Consider the following 25841-nt stretch of genomic DNA (forward strand, 5'->3'; position numbering starts at 1 on the left):
GTTTATAAATAGCAGATGGCCATCTCTGAACCATGAAGAAGGCACAACTGTGCCAGTGCCTTGATCTTGGACCTCTCAGCCTCTAGAACTGTGGGAAATACATTTCTATTATTTATAAGCTCCCAGATTATAATATTCTGTTATAGCAGCCTAAATGGACTAAGACAAGGCATGGAACAGATTCTCCCTCCAGAAGGAACCAATCAGAACAATACTTTGATTGAGATTTTCTGGCCTCCTGAACTGTGAGGCAATGAATTTTTATTGTTTTAAGCCACCCAGTTAGTGATAACCTTTCACAGCACCACAGGAAACTTTTTTATTTGTTGTTGTTTTTTGAGACAGAGTCTCGCTTTGTCACCCAGGTTGGAGTGCAGTGGCACAATCTCAGCTCACTGCAACCTCTGCCTTCCAGGTTCAAGCGATTCTCCTGCCTCAGCCTCCCTAGTAGCTGGGATTACAGGTGTACACCACCATGTCTGGGTAATTTTTGTTTAGTAGAGACGGGTTTTACCATGTTGGCCAGGCTGGTCTTAAACTCCTGACTGCCAGTGATCTGCCCGCCTCAGCCTCCCAAAATTCAGGGATTACGGGCATGAGCCACCATGCCCGGCCAAGCCACAAGAAACTAATGGAGAGAATGAGGCAGAATTCAGGCCCATATTTGGTTCCAGGACTCTTGATGGCTTCTCTGTCCTCCTTCACACAAGGCTAAGGAGAAAAGGAGCTGATGCAAATATGCTTTGAAAATCTCAAAGTATTCCTCAAGGACTGTGGATTTTATTGTTATTATTTTAAGAGACTATTCTCCAAATTGCCTAAGAACTCACTGAAATGTCATTAGTAAATAAAATGAGATACAGGACACAACCCCTTTTCCATTAAGTCAATTCTTTAAATGATATTTCTGGGATTTCTCCTGCTTTCATTCTCTGTCCCATTCTGCTTAAAATAATGCCCTGGGTATTTATACCCAGAATTTCATGAGAGAGCCCATAGGTAAGTATTTAAAAACAGCCCATGCTCAACTGTAATAAATTACACTAGAATGTACAGGGAGCTTTCTGGCTTAGGACAGATATAATCATGCTGGACTTGCTAAAACTACATTATATGTAAACCTGGGTGCTATGTGTATTAGTTCATTCTCACACTGCTATGAAGAAATACCCGAGACTGGGTAATTTAATAAGGAAAGAGGTTTAATTGACTCACAGCTCCACATGGCTGGAGAGGCCTCAGGAAACTCACAATCATGGCTGAAGGCAAAGGAGAAACAGGCACCTTCTTCACAGGGCAGCAGGATGGAGTGAGTGCAAGCAGGGGAAATGCCAGATACTTCTGAAACCATCAGATCTTGTGAGACTCATTCATTATCAGGAGAACAGCATGGGGGGAACCACCCACACAATCCAATTACCTCAACTTGGTCTCACCTTTGACATATGAGGATTATCACAATTCAGGGTGAGATTTGGGTGGGGACACATAGTCAAACTGTATCACTATGGTCTGAATCTTTGTGTCCCCTCAAAATTCACATGTTGAAATTGTAACTCCCAATGTGATGTTATTTGGGTTTGGGGCCCTTGAGAGGTGATTAGGTCATGGGGACAGAGCCTTTATGAGAGTAGTGCTCTTTTTAAAAGGGACCCCAGAGAGACACTCACTCCACATAAGATGACGAGAAGGTGCCACCTATGAGCCAGAAAGTGGACGCTTATCAAACACCAAGTCTACCTTGATCTTGGACTTCCCAGCCTCCAGGAAGGTGAGAAATAAATTTCTGTTGTTTATAAGCTACTCAGTTTATGGTATTTTGTTATAATAGCCCAAAATAGACTAAGACTTTGGTGTTAGATTGTGTCATTGTTGTTCAACAATGACTTAAAAAGTCATCTTTGGATGCATTCAGGTTGTAAACAGAACAGAATTGGGTCTGGTCTTTTAAGATTTTCTTAAAGGCAGGGTTTTTTTTCTTGAGTATTTGAGTCCCCTCTATTCCTACCACAACTGCATATACAAACATGTGCACACACAGGCATACATACACACATACATGAAAGTATGCATACATATGTGCAGGTGCACATATACACACAGGAATGTGCACAGTGTCTATGCACAGGTATGCACAGGTGTCTAGTCATGTACCTGCACATGGACATATATATGCATCAGCACATGTACATAACCGTGTATGCACACATGGACACACACATATGTACATGCTCTCTAAAAGGAACTACATGCTCCACATTTTCTTCAGGCCTAATTGTCTCCTTTTTTGTATCTTCATTGTTAGCCTCTCCTTTTACTGATCTTCAATAATGCTAATGGTAAAAGCTGAATTTATATCGTTTAACTACATGCTGTACATTTTTAAAGCTCCATATTACAGATAAGAAAGCTGGAATACAGAAAAGTTATAAAAGATGACCCAGCTTCTCTCATGGGTTGATCTTGGGTACTCTACAATCCTTCTCTGTACATTTGCTCATGTATTTTGCTGATTTAAAAATCTACCCCTATGTTGATGATTCCAGGATTTTTTTTTTTTTTTTTTTTTGAGACAGAGTCTCGCTCTGTCGCCCAGGCTGGAGTGCAGTGGCATGATCTCAGCTCACTTCAAGCTCCGCCTGCCGGGTTCATGCCATTCTCCTGCCTCAGCCTCCCGAGTAGCTGGGACTACAGGTGCCCGCCACCATGCCTGGCTAATTTTTTGTATTTTTTTGAGTAGTGACGGAGTTTCATGTGTTGGCCAGGATAGTCTTGATCTCCTGAACTTGTGATCCACCCGCCTAGGCCTCCCAAAGTGCTGGGATTACAGGTGTGAGCCACCATGCCCAGCTGATTACAGGATTTCTATCTCTAGCTCAGACTTTGTGCTCCAAGTTTACATAAAGAACTGCATAACTGCCATCTTCACTTGGATGTCTCAAGCATCTCAAATGTAATGTGAAGGGAAGAGAACACCCTCTCTTCCCCCACTCCAACACACCGTAAACTGTTCCACAGTTGTAACCTACTCTGCCTGCCTCCTTTCTCTCTCAGTAAATACACCATCATCCATTCATGCAGTTGCTCAGTCTAAAAACAAAAAATTCCCATAATTTTTCCACTTCCATCTCCCCTTCTCTATCACATGCATTAGCAAATCCTGTCAACTTTACCTCCAAAATATACCCCATTTGAGCTACGTGCCTCCATCTCCATTATTGTCACCCTTCCCAGACCAGCTGGAGACAGGGTCTCCTGACTGTTCTCTTCACTTCTGCTCAATCCAAGGAATCCCCTTAAAAACAAATCCAATCAGATATTTTCTGAGATGACTCCTGTATATCATGTCATCACAGCACATACCTTTTGATCAATCTTAGAAAACTCAGAGGAATTTCCCAATTATGGGCTGAGAAATGCCACTGAGTGTTATTTGCAAAAACCCTGTGACCACCAAATTTGATAGGTTGTAAATACTAAAAATGAACTGTAGCCCTGAATGATGGGGGAGGGATGGGCCTCACGCAGCTGCCAGTTTTCATGTCCCTGGACACCAGCCCTGTGCCCGACCACTGGGCACTTGCTAGCTCATTCAGCTCTCATCAGCATACTTGGAGCCAGTGACTTCCCCATCACCCAGGCAACCAACCCAGTTTCTACTGTGGTGGCCACATTCCAGAAGTGGGAGGACAGGAGCAGAGGAGGAGAGCTGGTCCACAAAGCAGTGTCAGACCTAACAGAGCCTCCTAAGTCATGGTGAAGGGGTTGGATTTGATTCCCAGCAGAAAAGCAGGGAGGGATTCTGTGTGATCCTCCCAGGCTCAGGTGAGCATTCACTTTTGTGAGCAGTGAATGCTATGTCATTTGAGGTTTTGTCTTATGGGGCAGCAGAGACACACTGCCCAAATCCCAGCCAGAAGGGCAGGCTGGGAAGCTGGCATGAAGGAAGGAGCTCCAAGTCACTGGGGGACCCCGGCATCCAAACAACAGAGTAGGATGCAGGTATGGCCAGAGACAAGGGGAAAGATCAGTTCAGTGAATTTGGCATTTAAACAATCTTTAAGGAGATCACTGGGCAGAGAATGAGTGGCCGACTTTTCAGGCAGTGAGAACAATATGGGGAAAGGCCACAGAAGCAGGGGCACGCTGGTAAACACCAGGACTCTGGGGCTGGTGCCAGAGGATGGGTAAATTTTGATGGGCACCTGAGAATCCAGGATAGTCCAGCTCATTGGTGATGTTCAGGAGAGTCTGATTTGTAGTGGAAAGATGCCCCTATTCAGAGATGCCAGGCTGTGGTAGGAGAGCTGGGAAGAGAGATGGTACAAAGGAAGATAGCTCAGAATCCACTTCTGAGTTCCCCAGGGGGTGTTGTAAGGCTCTTCCCTGTGCTCCTAGACTGTGCTATACTTACCCCTTCCATGGCACAATCTGTGCCTATCACTCTGATTTTATGTGTATTGTTTTATGATATCAGAATCTAACTTTCTTTTCAGGAGATTCAGAACATGGAGATGAATTATTAAAACAAAAAACAAAACAAAAGTAGAAAAGACTGTGCTGTGGTTCGAATGTGTCCCCTCCAAAATTCAGGTGTTGCCAATGTGACAGTATTAAGAAGTGGGCCTTCAACAGGTGATTAGGCAATAACGGCTCCTCCCTGTGAATGTGAATGTGATTGAGAGCCTTAGGAAAGCTTTCATGCGGCATCCGGTCTCTTGCCATTTGGCCGTCCCTCATGTGAGGACACAGCATTCCTTTCCACCCCGAGATGTGGCAATAAGTTACCCTCCTGGGAGCAGGGAGTGGTCCTTGCCAGACAATTGCAGCTACAGGTACTTAGATCTTGGGCTTTCAAGACTCCAGGAATGTGAGAAATACATTTCTGTCCTTTATAAATTGCCTCGTCTTTGGGATTATGTTATAGCAGCAACAAACAAACTAGGACACACCTATAATCCAATCACCCAAAAATAACCTCTGCAAACATCTGGCCGATGCTCTTTGGGCATTTTTTTTTTTTCTATGTTTGTGTTTGTGTGTTTTTCTGTATGACAAATTAGGTTCAAAATATGCACATCATTTTCTAGCCAGTTTTTTTCACTCCATAATATATAGATATTAGAACTATATGTCAATGTCCACACATATCCATCCATATTGCAATATTTAGTAGTTTCCTGGTATTTATATGTTATATGCACATAACACAGTTTCTGCAGCCGATCTGCGGCCTTTGAATGTTAGGTCATTTCTAATTCTTGGCTTTTATAAATAAGCCACAGTAAATACTGCAGTACTCATACATTTTTAAACTCTAAATATTTCTTTAGGATTATGCCCCCAGAAATATTCTTTTTCATTAAAGATTGATACACTATTAAGGATCTAGGATATATTACCAGATTGTTCTTAGGAAAGTTTATTTCTCTTAAGGGTGCCTATTTCCCCACAACCTAGCAAACATTGGAAATTATTCTCCCTTTTTCTCCCAATGTAATAGGAAAACAATGATATTTCATGATGTCTTTATTGTAGATTGTCTTTCTTTCATTCTTGATAAAAATAGACTTTTTAATAGGTTTATAACCACTTAATTTTTTTCTTTTGAAAATGACCAGCTCATATTATCTGCCTGTCTTTCTATTGGGGTATTTACCTTTGATTTGTTTTTTACCAATATGAAAATATTTTTATATAGATAAGCTTTGATCATTTATATTGCAAAAAAACTATTTCAGTTTGTCTGACATTTTAACTTTGTTTACAATATTTTAACCATTCAGAATCTCTTTAGCATGATGCAACCATATTTAGCCCTAGTTTCTTTCATGATTTCTGCATTTGGGGTCATGCTTTCAGAGCCCATCACCACCCTGTGATTAGGTAAATGGAAACCAGATGTGAGTGCAGTAGCAGTCGCTGCAGCTGTGGCATCTGCCGTCGCAGGATCTGTGTGCAGGAAGCTTAGTCCATCCACACACCAGTTTCAACAATAAATCCATTCACACCAATTGTTTTGTGCTGATTGGGGGAGGGTAGAAAGAGAGAGAGGGTTTTATGATGAAGGAAACATCACCGTTTAGTACAATACTTCCTATTATCATTTTCTTTTTTTCTCTTTTCTTTTTTTTTCTTTCTTTTTTTTTTTTTTTCTTTTTGAGACAGGGTCTCACTCTGTCCCCCAGGCTGGAGTGCAGTGGAATGATCATTGCTCACTGCAGCCTCAATCTCCTGGGCTCAAGTGATCCTCCCTCCTCAGCCTTCGGGATAGCTGGAACCACAGGCATGCTCTCCTTTCCACTTTTCTGTCTCTGGTGAGAACCAAAAGGTTTTTTTGTTTTTTTTTTGTTTGTTTTTTTAATTGCGCAGAGCAATTAATGAACTGCTTTTTGATGTGCAAGCATTCCTTGAAGGTCTTGGTCTGAAACCCAAGCAGCTTATTAAATATGTCTTCCAAACAAACATAATACTGTCTTCCAAAAGATTTTGGTGAACATATTTTTTTTCCTCCAATGTATTATATAAATACATTCCTACATTTTATTTTAGTGACTTACTAATTTTATACTTAATATTTGATTATATATCCAACCCTCAAGTGGTTTTTGTATCAGGAGTGTAAAACTACAAGATAATTTTTGGAATTCTTAACTCATCTGTATCAAACAATGATCACTAGCCTAAGGGCTACAGAAGGTGTATGTGTTTTTGTTTGTTTGTTTGCATCCTCACTTCTTTTCACAGAGTCTGATAACATTGTAAGTGAGGCCAGATTTAGACTTTCCCAAATTCAAGTAAGGCATTGCCCCTTACAAATGAAATTCAAGAACATTGTCTCAACTGGACAAACTGAAAGTTTTCGCTTTGTTTACAATGCTCTATAGTGAAAGGCACGTTTTATCCTGCCTTGGATCTTTTTCCTCTTTATTTTGGTAATAGCACCCTGATATTCCTCTGCAGAACTGAGGGTGAGCTGGGAAGGTTATGTGTAGTCAATCAGAACACTGTATCCCCATGGCCATAGTCATTGTCTCAGGGATGGACAAGTGACTTAAACCAGATCAATGAGAGATTCCACAGGCCTTTTGATGGAAGTTTCAGAAAGTGATGCAGGTATAAATGTGGAGAGATGTCCTATGGAGCCCACCTTTGCCACCCTAAATAAATATGTCAACATATAGGAAAGTAAAACTGAGAGAAAAAGACATATTTCTGAAATGGTTATTTGAACACTAGCTCTATCGTGCACAATTCTTTTATGAGAATGAACAAATTTCTCTTTAGGCTTAAACCAACTTGAGTTAGTTTGCTGTTTCTTGCATCCCCAGATTTTATTCACTATCTCAAAATTGAGGCAGTCTAACATACAACCCTTGTATGAAAGATCTGTGCTTATTAACACAAAGATCTCAAAGTCATTGATAGTTCTGGTCCTTGTTGCCCCAGTTTATCCCTATGAGCTTCCTGAGATATACTAGGATCCACAGCCAATAATCTTCTTGGGCTAGTGTATTAACTAGCATTGATGGAATTCCTAGTATGTATAATGCATCGTAAGTACATTCATTATCTCTATTCCTTCCACCAATATGTAAAATTACTCATGAGGAACTGAGGCTTTTACTAGGTCCTATAAAATGTGGAAGTCACAGAGTTGGTAACTGAGGTGCAGGTGTGTGGTGATTATGAGTATGTTCTCAGCAGCAAGACTACCCAGACATGAAGATCTAGTTCTACCGCAATCTAGTTGCATATCTAGGTCTATCACTTAATAGCTACAAGACACTGGAGAAGTGACTCAAGTGGTCCTTGTCTCACTTTCCTCATCTATAAATGAGAATAATGATAGAACTCATATTAGTCTGTTTTCATGCTGCTGATAAAGACATACCTGACACTGGGAAGAAAAAGAGGTTTTATTGGACTTACAGTTCCACATGGTGGGGGGGGGGGCCTTACAGTCATGGCAGAAGGCAAGGAGGAGCAAGTCACATCTTACGTGGATGACAGCAGGGAAGAGAGAGCTTGTGCAGGGAAATTCCTGTTTTTAAAACCATCAGATCTCATGAGACTTATTCACTATCATGAAAACAGCACAGGAAAGACCCACCCTCATGTTTCAATTATCTCTCACCAGGTTCCTTCCATGACATGTGGGAATCATGGAGTTACAATTCAAGATGAAATTTGGGTAGGGACACAGCCAAACCATATCATTTTGCCCCTGGCCCCTCCCAAATCTCATGTACTAACATTTCAAAACCAATCGTGCCTTCCCAACAGTTCCCCAAAGTCTCAACTCATTTCAGCATTAACTCAAAAGTCCACAGTTCCAAGTCTCACCTGAAACAAGGCAAGTCCCTTCCACCTATAAGCCGTAAAATCAAAAGCAAACCTATAAGCCGTAAAATCGAAAGCAAGTTAGTTACTTCCTAGATACAATGGGGGTACAGGCATTGGGTAAATACAGCCATTCCAAATGGGAGAAATTGGCCAAAACAAAGGGACTACAGTCTGCATGCAAGTCAAAAATCCAAAGAGGCAGTCAAATCTTAAAGCTCCAAATTTATCTCCTTTGACTCCATATCTCACATCCAGTTCACACTGATGCATGAGGTGGGTTCCCATGGTCTTGGACACCTCTGTCCCTGTGGCTCTGCAAGGTACAGCCTCTTGGCTGCTTTCAAAGGGTGGTCTTGAGTGTCTGGCTTTTCCAGGCACAAAGTTCAAGCTGCAAGTGGATCTGTCATTCTGGGGTCTGGAGGACAGTGGCCTTCTTCTCACAGCTCCACTAGGCAGTGCCCCAGTAGGAGTTCTGTGTGGGGGCTCTGACCCCACATTTCCCTTCTGCACTACCCTAGCAGAGGCTCTTCATGAGGACCCCACCCTTACAGCAAACTTCTGCCTGGGCATCCAGGCATTTCCATACATATTCTGAAATCTAGGCAAAGGCTCCCAAACCTCAATTCTTGACTTCTGTGCACTTGCAGGCTCAACACCATATGGAAGCTGCTGAAGCTTGGGGCTTGCACCCTCTGAAGCCACGGCTTGAGCTCTACATTAGCCCATTTCAGCACAGCCGGAGCAGCTGGGTTGCAGGGCACCAAGTCCCTAGGCTATGCACAGCACAGGGTCCCTAGCCCGGCCCATGAAACCACTTTTTCCTCCTAGGCCTCCAGGCCTGTGATGGGAGGGGCTGCTGTGAAGACCTTTGACATGCCCTGGAGACATTTTCCCCATTGTCTCAGGGATTAACATTTGGATCTCCATTACTTATGCAAATTTTTGCAACCAGCTTAAATTTCTCCTCAGAAAATTGAATTTTCTTTTCTATCACATTGTCAGGCTGCAAATTTGTGAACTTTTATGCTGTTTCCCTTTTAAAACTGAATGCTTTTAACAGCACCCAAGTCACCTCTTGAATGCTTTGCTGCTTAGAGATTTCTTCCGCCAGATACCGTAAATCATCTCTCTCAAGTTCAAAGTTCCACAAATCTCTAGGGCAGGGGCAAAATGCTGCCAGTCTCTTTGCTAAAACATAACAAGAGTCACCTTTGCTCCAGTTCCCAACAAGTTCCTCATCTGCATCTGAGACCACCTCAGCTTGGACTTTATTGCCCATATCACTATCAGCATTTTGGGCAAGGCCATTCAACAACTCTCTAGGAAGTTCCCAACTTTCCCACATTTTCCTGGCTTCTTCTGAGCCCTCCAAACTGTTCCAACCTCTGCCTGTTACACAGTTCTAAAGTTGCTTCCACATTTTCAGGTAACTTTTCAGCAGCACCCCACTCTCAGTACCAATTTACTGTATTAGTCTGTTTTCATGCTGCTGATAAAGACATATCTGACACTGGGAAGAAAAAGAGATATTAATGGACTTACAGTTCCACATGGATGGGGAGGCCTCACAATCACGGTGGAAGGCAAGGAGGAGCAAGTCTCATCTTACATGGATGGCGGCAGGCAAAGAGAGAACTTGTGCAGGGAAACTCTTGTTTTTAAAACAATCAGATCTCGTGAGACTTATTCACTATCACAAGAACAGCATGAGAAAGACCTACCCTGATGATTCAATTACCTACCATCAGGATCCTCCCATGACACATGGGAATTGTGGAGTTACAATTCAAGATGAGACTTGGGTGGGGACACAGCCAAACCACATCAGAACTACAGTAAGTAGTTACTTAAAGAACTTAGTGAGATAATACATAAATAAAAGAACAGAGGCTGACATTTGGTAAGTACCCAATGGGAATGAACTATTTTCATTTCCTGGTGTTTCAGGGCCAGACTAGGAGAACAGAAGTCCATATCATGATAGAATACAGACGGTCACTTGGATACTCCATAAATGACTAAAATCTCTTTCATATGGAGTTACCAGGACCTCGTTTTAGTTGTTGGACTTGGAAGCCCAGTACATTTCCTCCCCACCCCTTTTATCATCTTGACCTTAGAACAGGAAGGATGTGAAGCTCAGGGCACTGGTGCTGTCTTCTCCTTTAAGCATGGAAAGTTTGGCTGGCAAAGTAGGGAATGTGTGTGTGTGTGTGTGTGTGTGTGTGTGTGTGTGTGAGAGAGAGAGAGAGAGAGAGAGAGAGAGAGAGCAAGCCAGAGAAAGAAAACCAACAGCCTCACTTGAGCCCTGAATCAACTCTTAGACAAAAGGCAACTTGGTCCCCTGGCTTCCCATTTGTAGGAGTCAGTAGATTTTACTTTGCTTTAATCAAATCCAGGTGGTAATTCTGTCAAAACTGAAATAGCCTGGCAAATACAGCCCTTCAACTTTGTGAAGGACATTGTAGATAAATCTTACTCTCTTCTAACTTTTGATGTATCCTCTCTCTGAGCCCTGATGCCTCCCTGATATGGTTTGGATTTGTGTCCCCACCCAAATCACATGTCCAGTTGTAATCCCCCATGTTGGAGAGGGGACTGATATGGGGTGATTAGATCATGGGGGCAGAATTCCCCCTTGCTGTTCTCATGATAGTGAATGTGTTCCCATGAGATCTGGTTGTTTAAAAGAGTGTACCACCTCCACCTTTGCTCTCTTCCTCCTGCTCCAGCCATGTAGGATGTGTTCACCTTCTGCCATGATTATAAGTTTCCTGAGGCCTCCCAGCCATGCTTCCTGTACAGCCTGTGGAACCATAAACCAACTAAACCTCTTTTCTTTATAAATTACCCAGTCTCAGGTAGTGCTTTATAGCAATGCGAGAACAGACTAATACAGCAGCTCACTTCTTTCATCCATTCCATTACTTCATCAGTTCTTATTGAGTATCTACCCTGTGGCCACATCACTTACATTGCTTCCGCACAGTCTATGACATTAACTTGGTGGTCTCACTTCATCACTGTGAATCTCTCTCATCCTCAGTAGAATGATGCTACACATCTTAACTCCCAGGAATGTGTGGTGAGCAAATAAAAGCCATAGTTTGAAAACCCTGAAGTGCTCTATAAACATGGAATGATATCTGTATGTTCTGGTAACCTGAGCAGGAAACAACTTCTGCAATATTGTAAATGTGTGCTTTATGTTCCTTTAGGGAGCAGGTAGAGTATAATGGTTAGTTAAAATATCTGTGGTAAATTAGACTTACCACAAGATTCCACATGTGAATTGGCACAAAGTGGCACATGGTGATAAACATGTAAATCTGAAGTTGTCTATTGGTTATGTGAATTTTTTCATAGTCTTTCTAAAGTCTTGCAGGAATTATTTTAAAAGCAGAATAAAGTGATAAGAGGACATTTCTTGCCACTATAAAATAAGGTAGAACAGGGAAAACATAATAATACATTAAAAAATGGAGTTTCTAATCACTTACTATGTGTTTGTCACTGTGCTAAGTACTCTATATGATTTTCTCAGTTAAATTGCATGCCACCCTGTCAGTTTTTCTCATTTTATAGTGGAGTAAACTGAGGCTCACAGAAGTTACATATCTAACCCCAAATCATAGCACCATTAGGTGAAAGGGCACGTCTACAGTAAAGTTGGCTTTCTAAAAACGAATACGTAGTCTTTAATACTTTTCAATACCAAAACTATAGTCAAATTTTCCCTTTTTCCTCAACAGTATCTCTTTTAAGTTGGCTTAAACAAATCACATAAGAATATAGAATTTAAACTGAGATTCTAAATGGCAAGAAAGAGGAGGCACAAGACATAAGAAAAGGCCACCAAAACCCCAGGAGAAGCCAGCAGCAAGGCCTGAGGTGGGTGCTCATTTGGTGTGTGTGGCACCAAAAGAAGGCCATTGTAGCTCCAGCACAGTTTACAGAAACCTGACCCACAGTGAAAAATGTAAACACTAAAGCCAGAAGCCATTAGTTCTTTATGATGAGAATATAATCAGTATTACAAATAGCTTAAGGTCAAGGTCAAAGATACTGGCATGGATAATAAAGGGATACAAAAGTGCAGAAGAGGAAGACAATGGCATGAGCCTTGGAGAGACTTCCAAGAAGTAAGACTTCTAAGTAAATCTTTCAAGAAAGACTTCCTAGATGGGGTCTTGAAGTTGTACAAGACCTTTAATTCAGTTCTGCCACCATCTGTTTATGCAGAGGATCTAAACTTCATTACTTTGACAGTTCTGGCAAGTCAAGTAAATGAGTAAAGGAGACTGAGGGTAAACAGATTCTCCCTAGAGCCTCCCATAGGGCGAATGTCCCCATCAACACCTTGATTTTGAATTCCTGATCTCCAGAATTGTGAGAGAATACATTTCTGTAGCTTTAAGCCAGCATGTCTGTGATCACTTGTTATGGCAGCTATGAGGAACTAATACATCCTCCTTCACAGTGTTGTGTGGATTAAATGGCACATGGTAAGGACTAGGTGAAGGTTAAATCTTCTCTTCATCTATTTCTCTTCTGTGAAATGATATGAATACCACTGACCTGGAGGCCTAGCTGGTCATGTGCAGAAGAGGATTTTTGCTGAAGGTAAGAAACATCTGCCTCAGGCTACTCTCTTGCATGGTCCCCTTAAAAGATATTCCTCATGTCATCTGTTTTTGCAGAAATTGCAAAAGTGCAATATCTTAGTACTTTTTATCCCAGAGAACCTCCCAAGCTATACAAGCCTCTGGCTTCACAAGCTGGATCTGGCTTTGGTTGCTGGTTGTGTGGACTAAAAGTCTGCAATCCTCAGTAGGTTATCAAATAGATACGCACCGTGTACCTCTTATGTGCAAGGCATTGCAAGGCTACCTGGAAATGGAGAGAAGAGAAAGGAAACGCGGTTCTTCAAATCCACTGTAACTTCTGCCCCATCTCTAAAAAGTGGGACTTGTTTATATCCTGCCTCATTCCACCAAAGATTTGACGTGCTTACAGGAAACAAGCTCAATAAAACTATAAACCTCAAAAAAAATTGAAGTCAGTAAAAATACTAGAGATAGGACAGAGGCTTTGTGGATGAGGCCAGTTACCTTGGCCCTATTGTCTGTGAGGGTGAACAGGAAATCAGCAAGGTTGGGAATGATACTACAGAGAACAAGAGCACTACGGTCACTGACAGGTCCACAGCAGCTGGAGTGTCACTCAGAGGGACACACTGCAGTCACCAGATCAGCAAAGTGGTCCAGGGCAAGGGCACATAGACTGCAGATACCTTGCTATAGAACTTGGACTTCACCTGTTAGCAACTGGGAGCCACCCAGGTGTCTGTGAGCATGGTGGTGATGTGAGGTCACTCAAGACTATTTATGCGATGTGATTTCAGGCTACTCAGATGTCCTCAGTCCTGCATTTATGCCTTTTCCTATATCTGATTGTCTGTCTGCATCTGGCAACAGATCCTTCTCTCCTAGCTTCTAAGGGATCACATGACCCAAGATTGGCCATTTTTGTCTCTTGGGAATTTGAATATTGAGGCACACAGATGTGGCCAAAATGGACGGTAGAGCTGTGTACTGTGGTCGCAGTTGCAGGAGAGAAGATTCACCTATCCTTACTGCCAAGGCCCCCAGAGCCACACGGCTCATGTCTTTCCTGAATCTTAGTTGTTGATTCCTTACTTCTGTGGGATTCCCCTGTTGTGTTTGGCCATTTTTGCATTGCTATAAAGAAACATCTGAGGCTGCGTAATTTATAAAGAACAGAGGTTTATTTGGCTCTTGGTTCTGCAGGCTTTACAAGATGCACGGTGCTGGCATCTGCTCAGGGAGCTTACCATCATGGTGGAAGTTGAAGGCGCAGTGGGCATGTCACATGGTGAGAGCAGGAGTAAAAGAGAGATAAGAGCGAGGTCCAAGACTGTTTTAAACAACCAGAACTAACTGAGCGAGTACTCACTTATCACCAAGGGGATGGCGCTAAACCATTCATGAGGGATTCGTTCCCAGGGTACAGTCTCCTCCCACCAAACCTCACCTCCAACACGGGGAACACGTCAACAGGAGATTTTGAGGAGACAAAGATCCAAACCATGTTACCTGTGTTCTTCAAACAGATTCATTTTGTGTTCAAGTTAGTTGGAAGTAATTTCTGTTACTTGCAATCAATACTTGGCAGCTGTAACCCAAATCCTAACTGCGAATTTCTTCATTTCTCCATACAACTGCCTAATACAGTCTATTTATTAGCTTTAGATTTTATCCCTTAGAAGTAGGCAAAATGACTCTGGGAAGAGAAGATTGTGGATTCTAAGAAGCCATTTACGTGTTAGCATGAATTAACATTATCCTTTCTTGAAGAAGTATTTTGAAAGTGCGGAAAATAAAGGGTGGGAAGAGTGTATCATTGGGCAAGAAAGAGGAAACTGAAGTTCTGGGGAACCACTTTAACAGATTCTAGAGTTCTATCTCATGTTAAACTCATATTCCTCTTACTGTTCTCTCTCTCATTTCCCGACTCCTGACAACCCCAGTTCTTTTCAGCCTACTGGACATCTCTAAGAAATTCTGGGACCTGTGGGGCCGGTGGCTCAAACCTGTAATCCCAGCTCTTTGGGAGGCCGAGGCAGGCAGATCACGAGGTCAGGAGATCGAGACCATCCTGGCTGACACAGTGAAACACTGTGTCTACTAAAAATACGAAAAATTAGCTGGGCGTGGCGGCGGGCACCTGTAGTCCCAGCTACTCGGGAGGCTGAGGCAGGAGAATGGCGTGAACCCGGGAGGCGGAGCTTGTAGTGAGCCAAGATCACACCACTGCACTCCAGCCTGGGAAACATGCAGGACTCCGTCTCAAAAAAAAAAAAAAAAAGAAAAAAGAAATTCTGGGATCTGTTGATGGTCACTAAGAGAAGGCTACATTTTAAATAATTTAGACTCTTCCATTAACAGGACCCACAGCTCTCTTTTCTCTGCAAGTGGCCATGAGGCATATGCATGGACACTCCCAGGTACAGAAAGCAGCTGTCCCTCTCAGCAGTCAATCCCTTTGAAGATTAGTATTTACATGAAGCTAAATTCAACTTCATGGATGATTTACCTATTGACTAGAAGTTTTTCTTCTAAAATCAACCTGCTTTATTGTCAACATATAGTCCTTCAAACACTGGAAAACAGTTATTGAGGGTGCATAAAGATTTCACTGAGCAAAATGTATCTAGGCCTCACAGGCACACATTTAGATTTGTTGATGCGCTTCCCATGCTGGGTTATTTCTCCATCTTGTAATTGTCTCTTTGCAAATGTAAGGCCAGAACTGGGCAGAGAATGAACTCCAGATATGATCAAATCAATGCAGAAGAATGCAGGCCTATCACTTCCCTTGATCTGGAACTTAAACTTCTGTGAGATTGTATAACATTTTGTTAGCTTTCTAAATCATTGGTTTGTTGCAAACTCAGTTTATTCAGAAGAAAGATAACGATGGAGTTAAGAATGGAAAGTAGAAAGAAGTCATAGAGGTTTATCTGCTTGCTAAGGTATTTTGACTTTTACCTATTGATGATGAAAAGCATGCCTGTAGCTAGAACAGGTCACATATGTTCTAAGTGCTATATTTTCAATTCAGTGTTTGAACCCAAATATAGGACTTCTCTTTTGCCCTACTTGTCCTGGATTGGGGCTGCTCCCTATGTAGTTTGACCCAGTGGGAGCTCCTTGCTAGGGAGGGGCTGGATCCTGAAGGATGTTGTCTTCCTTCCTCCAAGGAGATTTCCATTTCTTATTTTTAAGCATAACTCTCTACCCCCACCTCGACCCCCGCCTGCCTTATGAAGTATCTGGAGAAGATAGTGGTTGATTATATCAAGAAATGTGAGGTCAGAGAAGCGGCCATTGGATCTGGCAAGGTCAAGGTCATTAGTGACCTTGAACAGAGACATTCCTGTGGAGTGAAGGGAAATGAAACCTCTCTATTTCCACCACCACCAGATTGACTTGGACACTTCTCATCTAACTCCTGGGTGACCTCCCCCTCCTAATCTCCCTCATCAACCCATCCTCACATCACCACCATCTTGGGCACAGGCCCAGACATAATTGTTTCCTACTTACATCTTTGGTGCTGCATTTTCTTGATGACAAGGCCCTTCACAATCAAGTCCCCACAACGTTTCTTGCACTGTCTCTGACACCCAGTATTCTAGTTACTCTGGACTATTTCTTATTTCTCAAGTCGTGTGCCTGCTACCTCTGTGGTTTGATCATTTAGTTCCTTTCTGCAGCAGGTAGTTTTTCTAAGACTTTGCTCATGGAGCCATCTGGAATCTCCCCAAACTCCCCCTGCCTCTCCCTCTTCTGTTTACCTGGCAGAGTAGGGGAGAGGTGGCAAGCTGAGAGATAGGGGAACTTCACTTCTAATTCTGGCTCTGCCACTAATAGGCTTGGTGACTTGAGTAAAGCCTTTCTCTGCTCTGGGTACCGATGTCCCACTCTCTGAAATGAGGGGGTTTGACTGCAATGGTTTTAAGGGCCCTTTCATCTGGAATATGCTCTGATTCCAAGGACAGTGGTATAGATTACACACGGGACACCTACCACCAAAACTGTAGAAAGAGAGGCTATTAAACCCTGTTAATTAGAAGCTAACCTGGTCTTTGGTTAAATGGGAAAGAAGGTGATGGTGGGGGCTTCTACGGGGAACCTGCTTTGCTGGCTGGTTTTCCACGCCTAGGTCTGGGGCACAGCATCTGACAGGTAAACTTGGCCAATGTTCAGGATTGGCCAGTGGACCCTCACTGAGCCGGCATGGCCAGTTCCAGGTTTCAAATACTTCTTCAAATGTCCAAAGCTTTGGGGCCTGAAATAGAATTTTCTTTTAAACCATTGTTATATGACGGTAGAAGTGTTCCTCACTTCGAGATGCTTAGTGATGACTAGTTTTATTTTTATACCCACCATTTCCTCTTGAAGAAATTAAACAAATAAACAGATGCCACCCTCTCTCCCTCTTCTCTTTTTTGGCTTAGGTCCTCCGACAATGCAGTGCTTTCTGCACCATCTGCTGGCTCTGCAAAGGTAATTAACAAAGGCACACTATTCCCAGATGAGGCTGGTTTATAAAGGACAAACCATGCTAGGAAAACGGAGAGGAACAAAGTAAGATCGTAGCAGACAGGCAAGGCTGCTGCAGTCCTGACTGCCAGTGGAGTGTGTTGTTAGAGCTTCTTGTCAAATTATAACTCCTAAAAATGAATTCAAACAGATTTAACCAAGGACATGGAATTTCACCCCTGCTGGGAGCCCTAAAGAAAGGGTGAGGAAAATTGTAGGGTGTCCAGTATTTTCTGACTCCCAGATCTTATTTTCTATATTTAATGTAATTTTTAAAGAAGGAGATATAAAAACTAACGTCAATGGAAGCTCAAAGTGAAAGATTGTGTGGGACGTTGGACTTTGGATCAGAGGCAGGCAGATTCTGTCATTCACCAACTCTCTGACCTTCAACATGTTATTCAACACCCCCCACCACCCCGAGCCTAATCCCCATACCTGTAGGTTGGGAACAATAATAACCCGAAACCTTCAGGGCCATTGTAATAATCAGTGAAACAATAAATTTGAGTCCGAAATCGTACCCAGTGCCAGGCTAGTACCAAGCCCATCCTAAGTAGTAGTTGTTAACATTCTCTTCGTCAGGTAAGGATCGTCATGACAGATGGCCTAATCCACCCTTAGCGGCAGGGAAGCAATAACCCTTCTAACAAAATTCACGTTCTAAAAGGAGCAGAAACACTGGAAATAAAATGAAAGAATAGAGGGGTTGACTTTAACAAAGAAAAGTAAGACCTAAAAATGTGTTCGGGGGAAGAAGGCATAATTATAGACTACACATATTCAAAACACATAAATCCCAACAAAGTAAGGGTTCATTCAGATTAAGATTTAGGGGTTTAAATAGGCCTATGTGGTGGAAACGTAAAAAGTGAAAACAATGAAAAACAAAAAGATAGGTTGTAATAAGATTAAAATATAAATTGCAGGAGCAGAAAACTGTCTTCTTGAGAAGGAGGATGTCCTTACTTGGCACGTTTAAAGTTAGATAGGACCAAATGGAAGATGGTTCTTAGCCATCTTATAGAGGCTCTTAGAAGACAGAGAGTGCCGTGATGATGATGATGTTATTGATGATGATCACAACAATGATGGTGATAATGACAGTGATTGCTTTTTTGTTCTCTTTGCTGGTGTGGTCTGGACTCAAGGAACCTGCTTCTGGTTTCCCAGAGAAAAACATCCCAGATAGTGCTGTTTTATGAGAGTCCCAGGCTCCTAAAGGCAGTCAGAAGGTTGGTGTTTGTTTTCTGACAGCAACAAAAGGTGTCTGAGTCAGTAAAATGATGACAGCTGTCAACAGTGCATAGTCCCCTCACCAATGGCTGGAGCTCGATGTTTGTGAAGCAAGTGAATCTTAGTAAATATCAAATTAACCCACACTTGCCACTGGTGCCAGAGCTCTTAAAATGTCAACGTGCCAAGGGACACCTGGCTCATTGCCCTAACCAGCGGCCGGCAGCCCAACCTAGAGGAACAAAAGACACGGCGATCCTGGTTTATTTGGGAGACTTTATCTTCTTCATACTCAACAGGCTTCAATATTGACATTCTCCCTGGTGATGGCTGGGAATCCAAGTCACAATGGCCTAATGCATCCAATTTTTCCTTCGAAATCCAGCTCAGATACTGCCAATCTGTGACGTGTTCCTAAAGACTGTTACCAGCGACAGAGAGTTAAATGCTCCTCCCTTTGTCCCATGTTATGTCAGGGACATCCTGGTATCATCATTCATCAGATCAACTTTCTCCTACTACAACTCACAATTATAGTAGACAGTAACAGGTATGGGTTGATTAGCTGGGCATATGTTGATTCAGAGAGGCTTTTTATAAGAGGAAACCTTTGATTTTAAGACATGAGTAGGGTTTTCCTAAATTGATGAAAGAAAAAATGGAATTCCAGCATACAGACCATCTTGCACCATTGGCACCCCTCCCTGCCCCCGTGGAAACCAGGGCTCTCGGTGTACTTGCCCTTTCTGAAACATCCCTGGCTGTTTCCTGTCTCCCTGATTTCCTGTGTTGTTACCTGCGCTTGAACTGCCCTTTCTGCTTATGTCTACAGGAAAAAGAAAAGCTTGCCGCAAGTCTCTTCTCCTCCACAAAACCTTTGCAGACCTTTGTAGGCAGAGATGACTACTCCTCCCTCATGACCGTATCTGCATTCCAGTAAAAATAATGATGGGTTCTTTGGGGCTTCATATATACAGTATTGGTATATATCTGAAATATACATTTGTGAAATATGTATGCCAAATATAAATAGATAGATAAAATCTCATTCAATTCTTACAGCAACTCTGCATTATTATCCCCATTTACCCCCAAGCTTCCTGAACAGAGGCTTGGAGAGTTTAAGCAAGATTATTCAGCTCCTAAGTTTGGACCAAGACTCAAATTATTGCCTCCTCTTTCAGACACTACAAAAGGCTTTCTATAGTATAATGCCTATGCCCTCCGATTCATATACCTAACTGCCTCCCCTTCTATCAGGGCCTGGCTCTGAGTTGAAATCCAGTGCACATCTGTTGAATGGAATTGATTTGAAGAGAGCTGGCAATTAGAAGACTTGGAAGATGGCTCTCAGATGATGGGACAAGGTGCTTCAGAATGAAAGATGAATTAGGGAAGCAGGCACCAATTAGCAGAGGATGCTACAGCCTATGATAAGGAGCTTTAATTTGATAGGAGACAATTGGGAGCCATTCATCCTGCAGCTCAGAGAAAGCCATTGACAAGCCCCTAATGACACTCAGGGGCCTTTGAAACCTTTAATTGCTAACGGCAATTTTGCTATTTCCGTGTAGAAGTGACACAGGAGGATGAGCTCGCAGCCGCCATATGCACCCAGGCTGCACTGCCCACAGCAAGGTCACTGTAGGAGCATCCCTCCTCTCCTCTGTGCACAGCAGAAACACTGCAAGTGAGCCCAGGTCACTTTCCTTATGTGTCCCTGAACCCCAGGTAAAGGCCCCCCTGCCTCCCATATCCCCATGCCTTACTTACATGGCTCTTGGGTTATAAGGAGCCCTCATATCACTGTTTCTCTTCTGCAACTTCTGCTCCCCACCTTTGCCCCACTAGTTAACCCCCAGGTCTCCATCCAAAGAAAGGATTCACAGCTTCCAGAATTTCAGTTCCAGTGAGGCAAAATGCTGCTCTTCCTCTCCCATCACCACTTTAAAACACCACCAGGTCAAGACCAGTGTGGAAAAGGGGGAAGGAGGCTATGAAATCCTGCTGATAGAGAAGTCATGGGGGACTGTTTTGTGTTTTTATCTTTTATTTTTCCAAGTTTTGGATCCCTTCCCTTCTTCCATCTGGCACAAAAGCACTTGGAGGCCAGTATCTGGACCTGGCCTTCAAAAGCCAGTGAGTGTCAACAGGAGAACGGATTCCAGACGCACGGGACAATGGCCTTTTCAAGGCACAGAATGCTGCTCAGTATTGTACGGTTTGCATGTGATGCAGCTTCTTGAATGCACACAAACACTCCCATTTTCACCAGCTCCATGATGGTGACTTATTTACTGCTGAAGATCCCAGGGCCGATTCAAACTGCAAACATCTATCCCCACCCCAAAAGGGAAGAAAAAAAAAAAAACCTGACAACAACAAAAAGCCACATATGAAAAAGGAAAAGCCAACCAGTGTGCGACTGTGGGACTGGAACTCTGAAGTGGGCACCAGGTGCATTAATTACACTTGATTGCGTGTTGGTTTATGACTGCAGTCACTTGTGTGCTATGTTCTTGCCCCGCAGCATCTGTGCCGAAGGATGTCCTTGATATTTCACTAAGCAAGATGAATATTGGCCAGATGGTGACTTCACAAGGACATAATTCACATAGCATTTTCCTGCCCCGACACAGATTTCTGTGAAGGAATCTTGAATGCCACGCTGAACAAAACAGAACAAGAAAACTCAATGCCCCGAGAAGGCTCAGTCGTCGTAAGTTGAAGATTAATGGTCTCCACAGTGATGCCGACAGCAGCCCAAATGGCAGCCGGATCCCAGGCTCATGCTGCAGATCTTGCCAACCCATCTCTCTGTCGCTTGCAGAGTGAGCTGACATCATCTGAGGCATCTCCAATTCACTTGAGGGGGGAAGGGCACTCCCTGGGCCCCAAAAACACACACCACAGGAAACTGGGTCATTTACTTTTTAAAATGATTAATTTTGTGTAGTGACAGGCTTCGTCAGTACCTGCGTGCTTGGTAATTTTATTTTGATGGTGACCAAGTGAAGAACGTGCCCTAGGCTCCAGCAGCGAGCTCATTCTGGTGCCCTGGAAGGGGAAAATGGGAGAGAAGCAAATCTCTCTCCTTGGAAACTCTTAGCAACACCGAGAAGCCCTGGTATTATCAGGCCGCCAGCAAGTAAGCAAAATGGCCCAGTTCCGAGTTGCTTTAGGAAAGTTCTTACTCCCTGAGAGTACTATGTAGCTGACCTACATGGAGTTAAAAAGGTAGGCATTACACACTTGTCAGTGGTATTTTAAATGTGGTAAGCCTGTCTGGAATTTGTAAAATTTCTACAACCTACACATTTGAGTCCTGAACCATGAAATAAAGATATGGAGAGTGAAGGTCATCCTGCTACTAAAGAAGGTCAACCCAAGACAGTCTGAAAGCAATAGAAGTAGGGGGCCGGGGTGTCACATTCCTGAGGTCTCTGTGTGCAGACTGCCCATGTCCTAGTGATGTGGAGTCAAGACACAAGACATGTCCTCAAGCAGGACCAAAATCATCCCTTCAAAATCACATCGCCATGTTGAATGGTTGCTGTTTGTTTGTTTAGAAGGAATAAATAATAGTGATAAAAGGGATGGAGGCTATTTCTTGTACACCCACTGCGTGTGAGACTCCCTGCTGCACACGCCCCCAGTAACTCCTACAGCCCTCTGCAAGGTGTACCCATCGAGAGATTGTGCCCCCGCATCAGACTGCCTGCTCTGCCACCTTCTGCTGCGTGACCTCACACAACTGACTTAACCGCTCTGAAAGTCAGTTCCCTCGTGGGTTAAACAGAAATAAGAAGAGAACCTAGTTCACAAGCTGGTAAGGACTGAATGAAAGAATGCTTTGAAAGCTTGGTAGAGAGGCTGTCATACACCAAGTGCTCAAAAAAGTCAGCAATCATTATTACTCAGCATGCGTAGCTCTGGAAGTGAAACAGATTCTCACAAACTCTACCAAAGGGTACCTCATTCTTACACGATAAAAATAAGACCAGGCCTTCCTAGGCTGCTGCCTCCTGCCTCCTGCTAGGATGCAAATTCATGGCCAAAAACCCAGTGACAACAGTCCCTCCTTTACCAGCACTATTTGGCAGGCCAAGCTTTGGCAAACAGCCCACCATACCCATTAAAAAAAAACCACCATTGTTTCATCTGGAGGCTTTTTGATCCCCCTAAATAAAATGTTACCACCCTCCCCACCCCACCCCCAGGACAGATTCAGCCTGCAGGGGAGCCAGCTCCTCCTGCTATGTCACTCCAGCCAGGCAGGCCAGGCAGGATGACTCAGCAGAAAAGAGCCTGCTGCGGGGTCCGCCCACCCTCGGGTCAGCTGCGGCCAGAAAAGGAAGGCCTCTGTGAGACAAACAGAAAAGGACACTGCTCAGGTCCCCTGGGTGCAAAGCATCCTTTGTCTGTGGGGACTTCAGACAGGAACCGCCCATGTTGACATTTCAGCTGGCAGAGCAGGCTTGGCCTGGCTGGGAGAGGCAGGAACCCCTGCAGAGGCTACAAAAGATAGTCCACACTTCTTTAGCCCAGCCAGATACCACAGTCCCTGTCCTCTGTACGTATTAATATACATAACCTCAGACTTATGCGTTTTCTATTATTATCCCTACTTTTGAGATGGGGACACTAAAGCACAGAGAAGGCAAATAACTTGTCCAGGGTAACACAGCCATGAAGTGGGGAAGCAGGGCTTACACCAAAGAGTTGTGGCTTCCAAGCAGGTGCACACAGCATCCAGGTCTGTCCTTCTGGCTGCATGTTATTCCCTCCCTCTGCTCTGCTGCTTCTCGGGAGCTCAGAGCCGAAGGCAGCATTTCATGGTTTCTGGAGCCTGGCTCCCTTCCTCCATCCCCTTCACTGCCCAATTACAGGACTCACCCTCTCTTCCCTGGATGCCATCACTACCTTCTAACCAGTTCTCCTTCCACCCAGGTTCACTCTTCTTGACCATCTCATCTCCCATTTGATGCTCCAGCAGCAAATACTGCTTGGAGGGCCCTACACATGCAGAGCTGGCATCACCCATGCCTTGGCTGGCTCATGCTGTCCTGATTGCCCAGAACACCTTTCTTTTCCAGCCTCTGCATGCTCGACTGCTCCTGTAGGACTCACCACCTCCAGGAATCTATTTCCCTTTCCTCAGGCTGGATGAAGTGGCTGGTTGAAGCTCACAGAACATCCAGTGCATATTTCTTGTGTGGCATTTTAGGACCGAGAACTTATCTATGACTTTGCATCTCCCATGCTGGGCATCATCCCTGACATCTAGGATGTGCTCCATAAAAGTCTGTTACATAATGCAAATAAAGGTGGTCTCCATCAGTACTACCAGTCAACATGCTCTACCACTGCAAATCCATGGAGGGTGCATGTGGTTATTGAAAATGCTGCTCTCTAAAAACTTCTAGTTCTCTGCCTTCCAGGCCCACAGTAGAATGGCCCTCCCTTGTTCTGTGAGGTTGGGAGAGGGCCATGTGGTCAGCTCTGGCCAATAAGATGTGAGCGGAAGTGAGTGATGTCACTTCAGTTGAGCATTCAATTACAGGGGTGAGATGCCCAGAGCAGCATTTCCTCCCTTATGGTGACCCAACATGGGAGATGGTGGCTGCTCCATCAACCTGAGGCCCCAAGTGATTGCAAGAAGGAAACTTTGCAATGAATATATAATGTGACCAGGAGGTAAACCTTTGTTGTTTTGAAGCCCCTGAATTTATTTTTTAGCATAACTTATCTAATCCTGAAGGGAATAACTCGAATCTGTTATTAACTCATAAATGTTGTTTTGAACATTTGCCAAGAATGGTCTTTCAAATAGAAGGTGGGATGCAACACCTAACATTCATTCATAATAGTAAACACAACAAGAACTAGCAAAGATTAATGAGTGATTTAGAAATAAATAAATGGTCACGGATGTTCTTTGTGTTTCCAATCAGTACATTCATCTACCAAGCACGCTCAGCCCTTTTATCCTTTTGCTCCTCACCACAAGCCTGAACAAGACTCAGGGCATACATTGTCCACTCCATTTGGAGAAAACTGTGTCTCAGAGAAGATGTTACCTGCCCAAGGTCACACAGCAAGAAAAGTTGGATCAGAGCTGGGTTTTCTGACTCCAAGCCTAAGAGTCTTCATCCTGAACCAGACCTCCAAATGCACAGGGCTTTAAAATTTTATGACCTGTAAAGTAAAATTTGAGCCAATCTAAGGAAAAAAAATCAAATGCTGAATCATTTATAAAGGACTTAGTCTTTTGATTCTAAAGCATTCATAAATGGTAAGAGTCATATTTTACTGTTCTTTTTATCATAATTCTTGTCATTTTTATAGCAAATAAATATTCAGATACTATAGAAATGGTATCACGAAATTAATAACTGCCATTTGGTTGTGGTGATAGATGATCAGTGGCCCTGTTGGAGCCTGAACCAGAGGGCAGTTGGTGGTAACTTGAGAAAATGTTTGGGAATTCCAGTCTGTTCTCCAGCCACCTTGGTGTACATCACTCATGCCCAAATAATCAGATGTTTTTTGAGGTCAACTGCATATAGATTCAAGGTGGTGGTCCTAAGAGCACCATCTGGGGCCCAAAGGACTTTAGAAAGGTATCTTTGATCTTAAATGAGGCCCAATTCATGTAAGAGTCAGAGATGAGGGGACACTTTGGAACGATGGTCCTTCTTCAGCAAATTTTTTTTGTTCCTGTTTTCCCTTTGGCTTCAGGGTGTTCTGTAGTCCTCTTTCACCTTCTCCTCGCTGAGCTTGCCAGGTGTCTCCACTTTCTCCTATTGTCCCTATGATTCTGTTGTACATTAGACTTGCTCCTCAATATCTTCAGACTGCAGGCTTCCTCTCCTCTGAATTCTATTGGTGACGTGATCTACTAGGAGAAGCTGACTTCTTCCACCATCACCAAGTCACCCTGCCAGGATGGTGCTTCTGAATTGCTCACACCCAGGACATCATTTGGCAATGGCAATGGGGTACAGGAGAGTTCTTGTAAAACAAAACTTTTGTTTTAGAGTCTTGACTTAATAAAATGACACCATTCTCCCTTCACTCCTTTTCTCTCTCTCTCTGTTTGTCCCTCCCACTCCCTTTCCTCTCCTTTCC

At 43.4% G+C, this 25841-nt stretch overlaps 1 long non-coding RNA gene across 1 annotated transcript in view, besides 5 other annotated features; it reads right to left on the reverse strand.

The window, feature by feature from the left end:
* C1QTNF7-AS1 (C1QTNF7 antisense RNA 1) overlaps positions 1-25841 on the reverse strand; it is a 422973-nt gene that overhangs the window by 122073 nt on the left and 275059 nt on the right. The gene's annotated exons all lie outside the window — the stretch shown is intronic.
* Positions 22006-22962: an enhancer, noted in NCBI's record as "H3K27ac-H3K4me1 hESC enhancer chr4:15150644-15151600 (GRCh37/hg19 assembly coordinates)". NCBI's record gives its function as "activates a minimal SCP1, AML or CMV promoter by ChIP-STARR-seq in naive H9 embryonic stem cells {active_cell/tissue: H9 hESC(naive)}" and the evidence as "EXISTENCE:reporter gene assay evidence [ECO:0000049][PMID:30033119]".
* Positions 22006-23997: a biological region, named in NCBI's record as "BRD4-independent group 4 enhancer GRCh37_chr4:15151436-15152635".
* Positions 22798-23997: an enhancer, noted in NCBI's record as "BRD4-independent group 4 enhancer chr4:15151436-15152635 (GRCh37/hg19 assembly coordinates)". NCBI's record gives its function as "activates an origin of replication core promoter dependent on BRD2, P300/CBP, MED14 and CDK7 cofactors, and independent of BRD4, by STARR-seq in HCT116 cells {active_cell/tissue: HCT116}" and the evidence as "EXISTENCE:reporter gene assay evidence [ECO:0000049][PMID:35650434]".
* Positions 22963-23919: an enhancer, noted in NCBI's record as "H3K27ac-H3K4me1 hESC enhancer chr4:15151601-15152557 (GRCh37/hg19 assembly coordinates)". NCBI's record gives its function as "activates a minimal SCP1, AML or CMV promoter by ChIP-STARR-seq in primed H9 embryonic stem cells {active_cell/tissue: H9 hESC(primed)}" and the evidence as "EXISTENCE:reporter gene assay evidence [ECO:0000049][PMID:30033119]".
* Positions 23055-23194: an enhancer, noted in NCBI's record as "active region_21336". NCBI's record gives its function as "activates an Ori minimal core promoter by ATAC-STARR-seq in GM12878 lymphoblastoid cells {active_cell/tissue: GM12878}" and the evidence as "EXISTENCE:reporter gene assay evidence [ECO:0000049][PMID:35858748]".

This window comes from Homo sapiens, chromosome 4, assembly GCF_000001405.40.
Source record: "Homo sapiens chromosome 4, GRCh38.p14 Primary Assembly".
Taxonomy (NCBI): Eukaryota; Metazoa; Chordata; class Mammalia; order Primates; family Hominidae; genus Homo; species Homo sapiens.